This window comes from Homo sapiens, chromosome 10, assembly GCF_000001405.40.
Source record: "Homo sapiens chromosome 10, GRCh38.p14 Primary Assembly".
In the NCBI taxonomy this organism is placed as follows: Eukaryota; Metazoa; Chordata; class Mammalia; order Primates; family Hominidae; genus Homo; species Homo sapiens.
The window spans coordinates 16,809,186-16,822,522 of NC_000010.11; the positions used below are offsets into that span (position 1 = coordinate 16,809,186).

At 43.7% G+C, this 13,337-nt stretch overlaps 1 protein-coding gene and 1 long non-coding RNA gene across 4 annotated transcripts in view, besides 4 other annotated features; one reads left to right on the forward strand and one right to left on the reverse strand.

Moving 5' to 3' along the window:
• RSU1 (Ras suppressor protein 1) overlaps positions 1-8,239 on the reverse strand; it is a 226,814-nt gene extending 218,575 nt beyond the window's left edge. The window contains exons 1-2 of one of the 3 annotated variants that reach the window (NM_012425.4): positions 8,130-8,239; positions 7,788-7,899 (exon numbers count right to left, since the gene is read on the reverse strand). In NM_012425.4, the coding sequence (NP_036557.1) occupies positions 7,788-7,896 (109 nt within the window). In that variant the 5' untranslated portion in view covers positions 7,897-7,899; positions 8,130-8,239. Of the gene's footprint in view, positions 1-7,787; positions 7,900-8,129 lie in introns of those variants that run through there. The other 2 variants (NM_152724.3, XM_047425617.1) reach the window with 2 other exon arrangements.
• Positions 7,718-7,877: an enhancer, noted in NCBI's record as "active region_3104". NCBI's record gives its function as "activates an Ori minimal core promoter by ATAC-STARR-seq in GM12878 lymphoblastoid cells {active_cell/tissue: GM12878}" and the evidence as "EXISTENCE:reporter gene assay evidence [ECO:0000049][PMID:35858748]".
• LOC105376435 (uncharacterized) lies at positions 8,514-12,072 on the forward strand. Its single transcript, XR_930708.3, has 3 exons — positions 8,514-8,571; positions 9,496-9,557; positions 11,643-12,072. It is a non-coding gene; the product is annotated as an uncharacterized LOC105376435 (long non-coding RNA).
• Positions 8,548-8,657: an enhancer, noted in NCBI's record as "active region_3105". NCBI's record gives its function as "activates an Ori minimal core promoter by ATAC-STARR-seq in GM12878 lymphoblastoid cells {active_cell/tissue: GM12878}" and the evidence as "EXISTENCE:reporter gene assay evidence [ECO:0000049][PMID:35858748]".
• Positions 8,688-8,777: an enhancer, noted in NCBI's record as "active region_3106". NCBI's record gives its function as "activates an Ori minimal core promoter by ATAC-STARR-seq in GM12878 lymphoblastoid cells {active_cell/tissue: GM12878}" and the evidence as "EXISTENCE:reporter gene assay evidence [ECO:0000049][PMID:35858748]".
• Positions 8,808-8,857: an enhancer, noted in NCBI's record as "active region_3107". NCBI's record gives its function as "activates an Ori minimal core promoter by ATAC-STARR-seq in GM12878 lymphoblastoid cells {active_cell/tissue: GM12878}" and the evidence as "EXISTENCE:reporter gene assay evidence [ECO:0000049][PMID:35858748]".

Consider the following 13,337-nt stretch of genomic DNA (forward strand, 5'->3'; position numbering starts at 1 on the left):
GGAATCTGCTCAATGGGGACACTGCAAATTCCATTTCCTTTGATTGGAAACATGCTCTGATCAGCACTTCTCTATTCAGAGGCCACATGCAAGGCAGCTGTGAAACATGCCAACCTCAAAGATGCTCTGGTTGACTGTAACATACGTGAGATTTCTTTCACTGTGAGCTACACAGATAAAATGCCATTAAGACTCCATCTCTCTACCCAAAGACAGAACCTGGCGAATGAAGGTGGAAGAACTGTAGAGGCAGCAAAGCTCTGTGTGGAGATGAGACGAGCTGTGTCCAGCCTCCCAGGGAGCCCAGGAGCAAAACACAGAGGCTCAACACTGACCCCTGCTGCTCACACACTTGATCTAGACCAAATGCTCCTTGGCCACATTTTTACATCATCCTTTGGTTTAAAAAATAAAAAAATTAACCCACCTGCACAAACTTGCTATCCAAAGAAGAGGTCTTTACGCTGAATTAAAAAAAAAGTCATCTCTAGTCTTTTCTCTAACAATGGATCTCCTGTATCTAGATTGTGTTTTCTTTCAACTAGGTTCATGTGAATTTATGAATAAATAATACAGGGTATGGTTTTCAATTATTATCCATACCAATTGTAGCATTGGTTATAATGGCAAAGCAGTGAGTGTTATAGTTCTTATGGTGAAAATATAACTACTTCACATGTAATAGACACCTTATAGTCATCTTAACATAACAAACAATAATTTCTCAGTAGATAATTTTAAAATTCAATATAAGACCAGGCACATTGGCTCACACCTGTAATCCCAGCAATTTGGGAGGCCGGGGGTGGGGGGGGGAGGTGAATCACCTGAGGTCAGGAGTTCAAGACCAGCCTGGCCAACATGGCAAAACCCCATCTCTACCAAAAATACAAAAATTAGCGGAGCATGGTAGCTGGCACCTGTAATCCCAACTACTCCAGAGGCCAAGGCAGGAGAATTGCTTCAACCTGGGAGGCGGAGGTTGCAGTGAGCCAAGATCGCGCCACTGCACTCCAGCCTGGGCAACAGAGTGAGACTGTGTCTCAAAAAATAAAAAAATAAAAAAATAGAAATTAAAAAATTCAATGTAAACTCCCAAACGAACTCTGGTTACATAATGCCTATCATAAAAAAATACATTCAATAAATAGTTACTGCAGGACACAGAGTATTTTAATTATTAGTGGAAAAATTACCAGTTTTCAAAGCATGTCTGCCATTCTCAACAGAAACTTGGCCACAAGCACATCCCAACGAAAATCCTGCTGCTGTTCCCCCAGCAGCCGCCCCCCGGGCTATGCACAGCTCTGAACTCGCCAGTGTGTGGCAACGGCTGTTCCTCTTGACCCTAGCACACTGGGCCCAGCCGCCCAACTTCTCCTGGGAATTCTGACTCAGGTGAGGAATAAGGCAGTGGGTGTGCTGGTTTGACAAGACCATGGGACAGGTGGGCAAAGACCACTGAGAAGTACCATCACCAACGTTTCCAAGAAATAAAGATATTGTTTTGCACTTGTTACACCATCACAGATAAAATGGTTTTTACAATAGTCATGCACCGCTTAATAATGTTTCACTCAACAATGAACCACCCGGGAGGCTGGGGCAGGCAGATCGCTTGAGTCCAGGAGTTCAACACCAGCCTGGGAGAAATGGCGAAACCCCATCTCTATAAAAATTACAAAAATTTGCCGGCAGTGGTGGCATGTGCCTGTAATCTACGCTACTTGGGAGGCTGAGGTGGGAGGATCACTTGAGCCCAGGAAGCCGAGGCTACAGTGAGGCAAGATCATGCCACTGTAGTCCAGCCTGGGCAACAGAGTGAGACCTTGTCTCAAAAACACAAACAAACAATGGACCACAAATATGACAGCGGTCCCACGAGATAACAATAATGTACTATATTTTTACTGTATGTTTTTGTATAAAGACACACACACTCACCATCATGTTACAATTCCCTATGGGATTCCATACAATCACATGCTGTACAGTTTTGTAGCCTAAGAGCAAAAGCCTGAGTCACAAGCACACCATCTAGCCCAGGTGTGTAGTAGGCTACACCATCTGGGTGTGTGTAGGGACATTCTGGGAATGACCACACAATGACAAAATCTTATTATGCATTTCTCATAACGTATCCCCACCATTAAGTAATGCATGAGTGTTCTAATAATAGCAAGTATTAAGACCATCAGGTACCGGGTGGTACACTAGGCCCTTATAGATATTAATTCACAATGACCCTATGAGGTGCTCTTATTATTCCCATTTTATAGATGAGGCACCTGAGGCACAGAGAGGTCAAGCAACTTGCCCAAGGATACACAGCTAGTAGCAAACAAAAAAGATGCTTACAAAAAAGCCACCAGGGCCACTAGAGCCAGAATGTCAGAGGACTGACAAAAAGTCAAATGCCATTACCGATTCAGTCATGCCAAAGGGGCTACACCTCTTCTTTGTTTCAATGAAGCATTTCCAGTTTTAACCCTATCATACAATCAAAAATAGAAGTTGTCAGTTCCATCTTGTTCCTGATAGCTGGAAACTGCTTCCCTCTGGAAACTGCGGAGAAGCCTGCAGGAAGGAGACAGAGTACATGCTCCTTCTCCAGAGCTATGCTTTCTCCCTTAGCCAACCTGAATCTCTTAACTAAAAGCAGTAACATTCCTTCTTCAATAAATTTTTCCCAAGTACTATGCCAAGTAGAGAGACACTTCAGCTAGGCTGGATGGGATGGTGGGTCAGAACTGAGTATTCTCGAGGGGCCTCCTTGAGGAGGTCACAGGAAATGGAGTCATGTGAATAGTTAAGTCCTTCCTTCTTTCAACAAGCACTAACTGACAAGGGGGCAAGGGCTAGCTGGAGCGAGAAAAACGAAAAGGGCTCCCCAGGCCAAGAAGCGGCGTGTTTAAAAACAGAAAGGTGGGCACATACACACAACCTAGAGGAGTGAAAACATAAATAATTTTAAGGCCGGGCACAGTGGCTCACGCCTGTAATCCCAGAACTTTGGGAGGCCAAGGCGGGTGGATCACTTGAGGTCACGAGTTCAAGACCAGCCTGGCCAATATGGTGAAACCCCGTCTCTACTAAAAATATAAAAATTAGCCAGGTGTGGTGGCGCACGCCTGTAACCCCAGTTACTGGGGAGGCTGAGGCAGGAGAATCGCTTGAACCCAAGAGGTGGAGGCTGCAGTGAGCAGAGATCACGCCACTGCACTCCAGCCTGGGCAACAGAGCAAGACTCCATCTCAAAAACAAAAAACAAAAATTAAAAAACAAAAAAATGATTTTAATAGATTATATCTAAAATTACAGGTCCTCCCCAGCTCTTTAATCTATCCCCCAAAGAAGGTCGACATGGATAGCATGTGTTCCAGGTTTAACAAGACTTTTGAGATAGCTCTTCCAGATAACCCATGATCATATTTGTTTATTATTTTGCCTGGTCCTTTAGAAAGACCACTCCCTTGAAAGCAGGTTGTTTTCGAGATTTATCTGAAAAATATTTTAGTCTAACTTGGAAAAAAAATGATAAAGGCTTGACCACCCAGAGAGGGCAATACACTTGAAGAGATTAAAAAATCAGGAAACACTTAAATAAGAGAAATGAAAGAAAGTTCCTCCGGCTACAGCTGGGATTCTGTCTCTATGGAAATGGAAGCTGATTACAGGGCCCTTCAAAATCAACTTTATCAACCAGATGAAGACAGCTGCTGCTTGGGAAAGAGTTTCTGCAGTGAAATCTCTTTAATAAAAAGAATAAAATCAGCAGCATTACGATTATGCTGGGAAGCTTTTTTTTTTTTTTAAGAGACAAGGTCTTGTTCTGTCACCTAGTAACACGATCATAGCTCACTACAAACTCAAACTCCTGGGTTCCAGCAATCCTCCCACCGCAGCCTCCCTGAAAGCTGGGACTTGCACATCACCCTCAGCTCATTTTTTAATTTTTTGTAGAGATGGGGTCTCACTCTATTGCCCACACTGGTGTTCTTGGAAGCTTTAACGAGAATGTGTGTGCAAATTACATGCCATGTTAAAACAAAATGATGGAAAATAAATAAATTAGGACAAATTTTAAATAAATAGCTATCTAAATCAATTAGAACCTTAGGCAAAAGTACCAAACACTACAGGTTCTAATAAGCCACACAAAAAATTCCAACACCTGATACAAATGCCTTACCCAGTCGAGTTAACAAAGTAAAGTTCTTGGTTCAGGCTACTGACTATGTTGGAACTGGGTATGTCTGAGACATATGGGTCTATAGCTGGATATTCATATTAATAGTTAACATTTAATGTACATTATTGGATCTAACACTAGTTAATAACTAACATTTAATGTGCATTATTGCATTTAACGCAAACCATTAAACCAGTCTTATGAAGTGGTTTCTTAGGCTACCAATTATTAAGTAACTTGAGGATCAGAGAGGTTAAGTAGCTTCTCTAAGGTTACACAGTACTAACTAGCAGAATTTGAATCCACGTCTATCCAAATCCAGGTTCCCCTCCTATGTGCTGTACTCCTCTGCCTCTCATGGTAGGAAGTGAGCATTTCTAGAATCTGGCTGGACTACTAGAAAACTGTAGAACCTGTCTGATACCTGTCTCCAGCCTAAGAAGTTTTCCCCATCAGAAAGTTCTTGGTACCTAAACTCCTCAAAACATCTTTTAAAGGTAATTTGCTGTCTCTAAGGAAGGGCTGCGTTAGAAGATACAACTCTCCCAGGAAGAAAGACGGGCATCTCATATGCTTAGTAGTACAAAACCTTACTTTTATCTTCAAAGCTTAATTCTAACCTCTTGAGAAATTAAACAAAGTAAGAATAATAAAGGGAAAACTTGAGATGCAAGAAACAGCTATTCTCTGTACATACAAGTTTAAGCTGTGTTTAAGCTGGATACTAGTATATAAAACTTCCTGGTTACAGCTAAAAGTTTATCAGTAAAGAAACATGGAGGTTGGGTGTGGTAGCTCACATGTGTAATGCCAGCACTTTAGGAGGCCAAGATGGGGGCACTCCTTGAGCCCAGGAGTTTGAGGCCAGCCTGGGCAGCATAGCAAGACCCCATCTCTACAAAGAAATAAAAAATAAAACCATTAGCCAGGCGTGGTGGCGTGTACCTATAGTCCCAGCTACTCGGGAGGCTGAGGTGGGAGGATTGCTTGAGCCTGGGAGGGTGAGGCCCCAGGGAGCTGTGACTGCACCACTGCATTCCAGCCTGGGTGACAGAGCGAGACCCTGTTTTCAGGAAAAAAAAAAAAAAAAAGAAAAAAAAATTCTTACACTTATAATTAATGTAGCCATGTGAAGTATTTTAATACTTGTATATATTAAGCACTGTGTCAGTGTGTGTGCACTGCTGAGAAGTGAGCCCTGGTGGAGGCTTCGAAGAGCATCCTGGAACCCCCTAGGCTCCGAGAAGTCCTGAGGTCAGGGAGTTTGCAGAGAGCAGCCTTGGCTCAATGCTACAGAAGCCAGAGGAGATGGAATCTGCAAATCTCCAAATTCACTTCCACCCAACTTCCCAAAAAGTACTATTATCCGTTGTTAGCTACTTCTTTAGGAAAATTTAAGAATGATCTCGCTTTTCACCACCCAATGTTATACCGGAAATATATTTCAGGAAGCAAGTGGCTTTTCTTCCTTAATAAAAGCCAAGGCTTCAAAGAGATAACGGAGCTGAACCGAAATAGCTAAGCCATTCTCCCCATTTATAAATATTACATAAAGTCTCCTCTTCAAAAGCCGAAGGGTACAAAGCTCCTCTGCTGAAAGCAGCCTCTCTTCTACCTGGTGAGAATGAGTGCTGTAGGGAGGAAGGCCATGGGGCCAAGGTTCCCGCTATGCATCATCTTCCCTATCCCCTTCTCTTTCTCCTCTGTATCAACAGTGCCCCCAATAATGACCATGGTCATGGCAGAGCCGGGCAGGCGCAGCAAGGGGCAAACTCAGATATCCAATTCCAGAGGCATCTGCTCAGTTGCTGACAGCAAGGACCCTTACGGAATGCAAGAGACCAACACACACCAAGCCTGAGAGGCTAACTAGTACACAACCTAAGTTTAATGGCACGTATTTTCATAAAGCCTACGAAACGCAAATCTACGTTTCCTCCCTTTTCCTTCTGCCAAGACATATCAATAGCATCAACTCCAACCTCTGTCCCAGGCAGGTTTTCGAACCGTGAAAACCGTGAATTCACAGTAAACCTGACTCTGCAGTTCTCTCCATGCCTAAATGGCTATCCATCGCCTTTCAGGGTCTCCTGAACATCTCCCTTCTTCTCTCTTGTCACATCCTGGAGTTGATATCCCAAACTCACAGGCCTAATCCATCATTCTTTCATTTTCTTCATTCCTCAACTATTTTTGAGCATCTACTGTGCTCCAGGCACTATTATTAAAAAAATGCAAGCATGAATATTGCACAGCTTTTGTCTTCCCAATGTCCCAGCAGAGAAGAGAGACTTCTAGATTAAAAAAGAAAAAAATCAGTACAATCCTATGTGAGAGGAGTCACAAAGCAATACACACGACCACCTTCACAGAGGAGGGAAGGGATATGTTAGCCTGGTGCAGACGGATAAGGTTTTACACAGGTGGTGATGTCTAAGCTGACTCTTAGAAGTAAAAGGATTTCAGGTGCAAACGACTGAGAAAGAGGGAAAACAGAATTTGTAAAGGCACCAAGATCTGAACGAGTAGGCTCTGGTCCAGGAAGGGCAACAGGTTCAGAATGGCTGGAATGCCAGCTGCATGGAAGGGTAAGGTTGTGTTCAGATTCAGAAAGGCCTTGTACATCACGCCAAGAAACCTGGAGCATTACCGTCGATAATGGACAACCTGGAGAAGTGCGGAGAGGGTTTAAACCAAAGCCACGTCAGCCTGAAGAACTGCTTTAGCTCACTTATCACAGGTTTTTCAAATATTAGAATTAGTAGCCAACATCTAAAAATTAGCAAATTTCACATAAAAATATAGAATCTTGGTTCCTTTAAGAAAATAATCTGGCACATTGGGCCAACATTCCTATGGTGACATGTGTCTGAGTAGCAGGTGCAGCAGCTGGCCCCTTCAAGTGGGACACCTATCACCTAGTTCATAACCGCCCCTGACCGCCCTCACTTGGAGGCATGTGAATCTGCAATCCCTGGTTTTAAGGGAGAGGGTAACACCATAGACAGGGGTTACAGGAAAATGACACTGAAAGTGACCCAGTGATTAAACTGGGCAGTGAAACTGAAGGCAAGAGGGCAAGTTAGGAGGATTTCACCACAGCATGAGGAGGTGACAAAAGCCTGAACCAAGTTCGGAGAATAAATACTCAGAAGAATGTAAAGATTCAAGAAATGCTTAAAACGCTCCAGGCACAAGAATGCTTATTAACCATGGAACTTTTCTGTGTCATTTGTTCATGGACAAAGACTGTATTAGGAGACAGGAAGAAGGACTCAAAATTAATTTTCAATTTATAATTAAAGTGACTATTAAGCAAACTGTGGAAAATCCACCTCAATGCCATACAGCAGAGACAACCGATGAGGCACAGCTGTCTGTGTGATTCTCATCGTGGACTCTCAGGATCGTTTTCCAGGTGGAACAGAACAAATCCTACTGCAAACCCTCTGCGCGAAGCCCCTGACAAGTGAGGTTTACAAGCAGGGGCTGGGGTCTAAACCAGTACAATCGCTCACAGCAGGACCAGCAGTGAATTGGCAAACTTAGAAAGCCTTCCAGCTCATCCACGGGAGAGTCCTGCCCGAGAACTCACAGAGGCCGTTGACATCCAGCATGTTGGAGATGCCCCGGTCACTCATGTCCACCTCGGGCTGGTTCTTCTCCCGGCTCTCCTCCACCAACTTCTTCAGAGACTTGGACATGGTCTGCACCGAACAACAACAAAGCACGTGGGCGATGACAGCAAGCGCAGAGGCGGAAAGGCAAGAGGCCTTCGCTGCCACTCTGAGGCTTCCCCAGGGTTGGAGCGGGTGGGCGTCCGAGGGCGTCCCAGGGGCTGGTCCGGGTGCGGGGAGGGGATGGAGTGGGAAGGGTTCAGCCCCGCTGCGGCCACGCAGCGAGAAGCAACCCCAAGTGCAACACCGCACACACTCACCACGGAAGGTAGCCCCTAAGACGATGGGCGTGCAACCACAAGCTTCGGCAGAACGCACTCCAGCTGCCCTCACTCCCTGCAACACCGGCACTGAACAGCGAACACGCCCTGTCTCGGCGCCCCGCGCAGGCGCACACAGCGCCGCTGCCAGCTCCACGCCCGACCCTACCCATATTAGGAGAACAGCTCTCCAGACGTGTCTCCAGGGCCAGGCTCCGCCCTTAAAAGTCTGTGGAAGAGGCTGGCTAATCACGTTCGTTATTCGGCTTCGAGACCCCGCCCCACGCTGAGGATAGTTTATCCCGGTGGCGTCCACCCCACGGTTTGGGACGCTGATTGGGCCGAAGTTGGCGCGTGCGCAGTAGACTTGGCGCAAGCTCAGTTGATGGGTCGAAGCCCAGAGGGCTGTGGGCGGAAGTGGGGAAGTTTGTGGCGTGACTGTGTAAGGGAGGGTGGTGGCTCAGGGTGGGTGTTGCGAAAGCTGGAAGTAAATTGCTTCCGAATGTTTCGCTTGTGTAATAGCCGCTCCACTCGCCAGAAGTTGCTACCCTGAGCCCGTCTCCACAATGTGCCTCTGAGGGACCTTGTGGGGCACGCAGTTTCCCGCCCTATTAAGAGCTTCTCCAGGCGGGGATTCCGGCGCGGTCTGCGTTTCCCCAGCGCCCTGCTGGAAATCTTTTTTGACAGGTTTCTAAGGCTGGCTTTTAGCCTTTTTACTTGTAGCTAGAACCTACAAGTAAAACCCTACTATTTTAAAAGTCATTTGAAAACACCACTAAAGCGATGTGTCTTTCCCAACTAGGACTTTTACATTTGTGAAACATGACGTTCTGGCTTCCAGGAATCTCTTGCTTTCTCTTCCAAAAGCAACCAAATTTTAAATTCTAGAGAAACTGTTGCCCTCTGCCTCCCTATTTCCTGACCCAGTCTCAGTCACCCAGCAACATCCTGTGCTTCTCTCACCAAAAACCCTGTCCTGAGAGACTATTTTATACTATGGAATAAAAATTGGCACCAGGCACTTTTCTTCTACTGGTCACCTAAATTGATGATAAGACGGATGCCACACATATGCATTTATATATTGTAGATTGTAGCAGGGATCAAAGCCTTAAGGAGATGTGGTAAAATAATGTAATTATATCTCCGAACCAATTGGATAAAAAAAGGATCTGCACTCTTAAATTCGAAAGCAGGTATTTCTTGCTTAAAAAACATTCCAGATGAAAGAGTTATTCCTCCATTAGTCTTCTTTGATCTGGAACCGTCCTTGGCTTTTATGTTTATTGAACTAGACATTATTTAAGAATACAGACCAGGTATTGTGTGGAATATCCTTCAAAGTAAGTTTGATGTTCCCTTTCAGGTTATGAATTTTTGGAGAAACACCACTAAAGCGATGTGTCTTTTCCAGTGCATGATATCAAGGTACAGATGGCATCGGTTTCTCCCAGTATAGGTGATGTTCACTTAAATAAGGTAGTGTCTGCCAGGTTTCTTCACCATAAAGTTACTATTTTTTTCTTTATGATTAAAAATAATGCTGGGGGGAGGTGCTACTTGATTACACCCCATTCCTCATCTAATTTTTACCCACAAGTTTTAGCATCCACTGATGATTTTCTAACTTCATAATTTCATCAATACGTATTAGTAGGTAATCTCCTAATACATTTATTTCTTGAATCATTAACTCTTTTAAAGCAAAAGTCCTGTTTTGAAGCAATCAGAATTTTTCTTATTCTATCAATTTCTAATAGTGAATCTTGCCTAGGTAGGCTGAAGACATACAGTACCTGTGTTAGTCGGCTAGGGCTGTCGTAACAATATACCACAGCCTGGATGGCTTAAACAACAGAAATTTCTCACAATCCTGGAAGTTCTAGATCAAGGTGCCAGCAGATTTGATTTATCCTGTGGCCTCTCCCCTGCCTCGTGGACGACTGTCTTCTCTTGGTGTCCCTCCAGGGCATTTTCTCTATGCAGTCACACCCTTGGTGTCTCTTCTTCTAAGGACACCAGTCCTATTGGACTGCCGGCCTATAATAACACCCTGCATTTGTTTCATGAATGTACTCTCTTCTCAGGTATCACCGAGGATAATAGTTTTTAAACCTCTCTTCTGTTCACTCAATTATGTTTCTTCAAGGGTCCATTCTTACGTGTATTTATCTAGTCTTTTCCCTAGAAAAGAAAGATTCTTCCCCTCTCTGGTGATTGATTCTTGGTTGTTCTTTTGAGTTCAAGTGTGAAGATCTGAACTGGTTTTTCTAGATAGCTGGAGTGGTCTCTTGTTTGTTTGTATTGTTTTCCTCCTAGATCCCTAGACTGATAGTCGAATTTCTTCAGAGGCAAGAACCCAGTATTATGCCTGCAGGTCATCACCCGGCTACCTTTGCAGGTGGAGGGAAATGGTGGATTGTGAGTGCCAGTTAGGGCAACTCCCTGACTTTGGTTTTAGCCCCTCACACTGCACCAGCCAGCCCCACATCCAGGTTACACCTGGAACAGAGAGTCCCAGCCCTCCTGCATGTCTCTCTTGAAGTTATTTTGAGCTGCATGCCTCCATTCACTTCTGTTTCATAGGAATTTGTTTTCACTCCTGTTTGAGATAGGAAAAACCAAACTGTTTTTGCTACTCTCCACTGGCTCAACACTTCTGACACCAGAGAATCCCCCACACATGAAACAGTTCTCCAGCAGACACCAGCTCGGTGTCTTACAGTTTAACTTAATTCTGACACTGTCTACCTCAACTTATAGTCAAATCCCACAAGTTAAGGGTTCATTTCCACAAGACTTTAGGTTGACTGTCACCTACACTTCTGACTGACCAGCTATAAATCAGGGTTCCCACACCCCCTTCTCAGGTTTGATTAATTTGCTAGGATGATGGTTAGCCTGTCCAGGGTCCTGATTGCTAGCAGTGAAACTTCATGGTGACACAATTTGGAATCAGGAAACTTATCCCTTGGCCACTAGATCTGGGAAGTTGGCTCAATGTATGTTTCACCAGATAAGAATATTAAGGTTTTTGCCTCAGGACTGGCTCAGGAAATCAAGCAAGATGGAGCTGGGAAGTGTGCTTTGTGAAGCTGGGAGACATCAGCTGATAGTCTTGTATGGCTGTCTTGTTCTCTGCTTTATCCTCAGTGCGCTGAGTACGTATCACATAGCTGATGCTCAATAAACATTTGGAAACAAGTGAATTAAATGTAAAGCAGAACCAGAGGATATACGGTGGGTCTTACGAATGAGAGTACAGTTGACTCTTTTCTCCTTCTTCCAGCTGAATTACTCAAAAACTGAATTACTCAATAACTACTTCCCTTGGCTATACACGAAAATGTCATGCTCCCAAGCCTGACCATCCCTAACCCACTAAAAAATCACTGCTTATTTCCTAGATGCCCAGCCTGGAAGATTTTGTAAAGCTTCATTTTGTCTCTTTTTTTCTGTATTTTTAATTTTAAAATTACATAATAATATTGACTATGCTTTCCTCAATTTCAGGTACACACTTCCCAGATATTCCAATATGCCTCCTAGAAAAGCATGCCCTTCTGAGTGGAAATGATACCGTTACTCTAATGATGCAGTCCATGCTCTAAGCATCATTTTTTTGACAGTGACATCATGTTAATCTTTCTTTCAGAAAAGTACTATGTCATTTCATGTTATTGTTAAACTTTCCCTGTATTCTGTACTTTTGCAATTCATTTTTTGATAAAAGAGGAAGATCTTATATCTGTCACATTTCGTCTGTTACAATTGGCCCATTGTTGTAGCTTATCAAGACCTTTTGGATTTGATGGTGTTACTTATCGCATTCACTGTCCTTTCCAATGTAATTGTCACCCATAAAGTTGATATGTCTATCCATAATACAAAAAGGGAGCAGGAATTGTTGTTGTTGTTGTTTGTTTTTTTGAGATGGAGTCTCATTCTGTAACCCACACTGGAGTGAAGTGGCGCGATGTTGGCTCACTGAAACCTCCGCCTCCTAGGTTCAAGTGATTGTCCAGCCTCAGCCTCCTGAGTAGCTGAATTTTCAAGGTTAGAGTATTTTATTTCTGTGGCTCCATACTCTGTCCAGAAATAATTATCTGCCATTTGAGTATTAGAGTAAGATGAAGTTACATTCCTCAGCTTCTCTCATTCACATGGTCTTTTGTTAATAACCCTTGATTTTGCATAATTAACATAAAGCAAATCTCCTTTGTAAAGGCTTCCGCTTTTCTAGAGGCACTGAAAAACTTTATAAAAGCATTGAATTTTCTTATGAAAAGGAAGCTAATAACTACCTCACTTAGTTACATGTCTGGCAGCATTGGAGATAAGGATGTGCTACTGAACTTTCTACTTCTTGTTAAGTGGCAAACCATATTGTTTATTTATAACTTAACATATTGTGTTAAGGAATAGGCAATGGTGGTGCTTATGGAAACTTTGTACTCCTGAGCGTAAATACATAATAGAGTTTGGATATTTGTCCCTGCTCAAATCTCATGTTGAGTTATAAAAGCCAGTGTTGGAGATCGGCCTGGTGGGAGGTGTTTAGATCGTGGGGGTAGATCCCTCATGAATGGCTTGGGCCATACCCTTGGTGATAAGTGAGCTCTTGCTCTGAGTTCACATGAGAGCTGGCCACTTAAAAGTGTGTGGCACCTGTCCCATACTCTCGCTGTCTTGCTCCTGCTTTCACCGTGTGACATGCCTGTTTCCCCTTCGCCTTCCTCCATGATTATAAGCTTCCTGAGGCTGCCCCAGAAGCCAAGCAGATGTCAGCACCATGTTTCCTATAAAGCCTGCAGAGCTGTGAGCAGATTAAACCTCTTTTCTTTATAAGTTACCCAGTCTCGGGTATTTCTTTATAGCAATGCAAGAATGATCTATTACAGAAAATTGGTACCAGGAGTGGGGTTTTGTTATAAAGATACCTGAAAATGTGGAACTGACTTTGGAACAAGATAATGGGTAGAGGTTGGAAGAGTTTGGAAGGCTCAGAAGACATAAAGATGAGGGAAAATTTGGAACTTCTTAGAGACTGTTTAAAAGTTGCAACTAAAATTCTGATAGTGATATGGATAATGAAGTCCAGGCTGCCAAGGTCTTCGATGGTAATGAGGAACTTAGTGGGAACTGGAGCAAAGGTGACACATATTATGCCTTAGCAAAGAACTTGGCTGCATTCTGTCCATGCCCTAG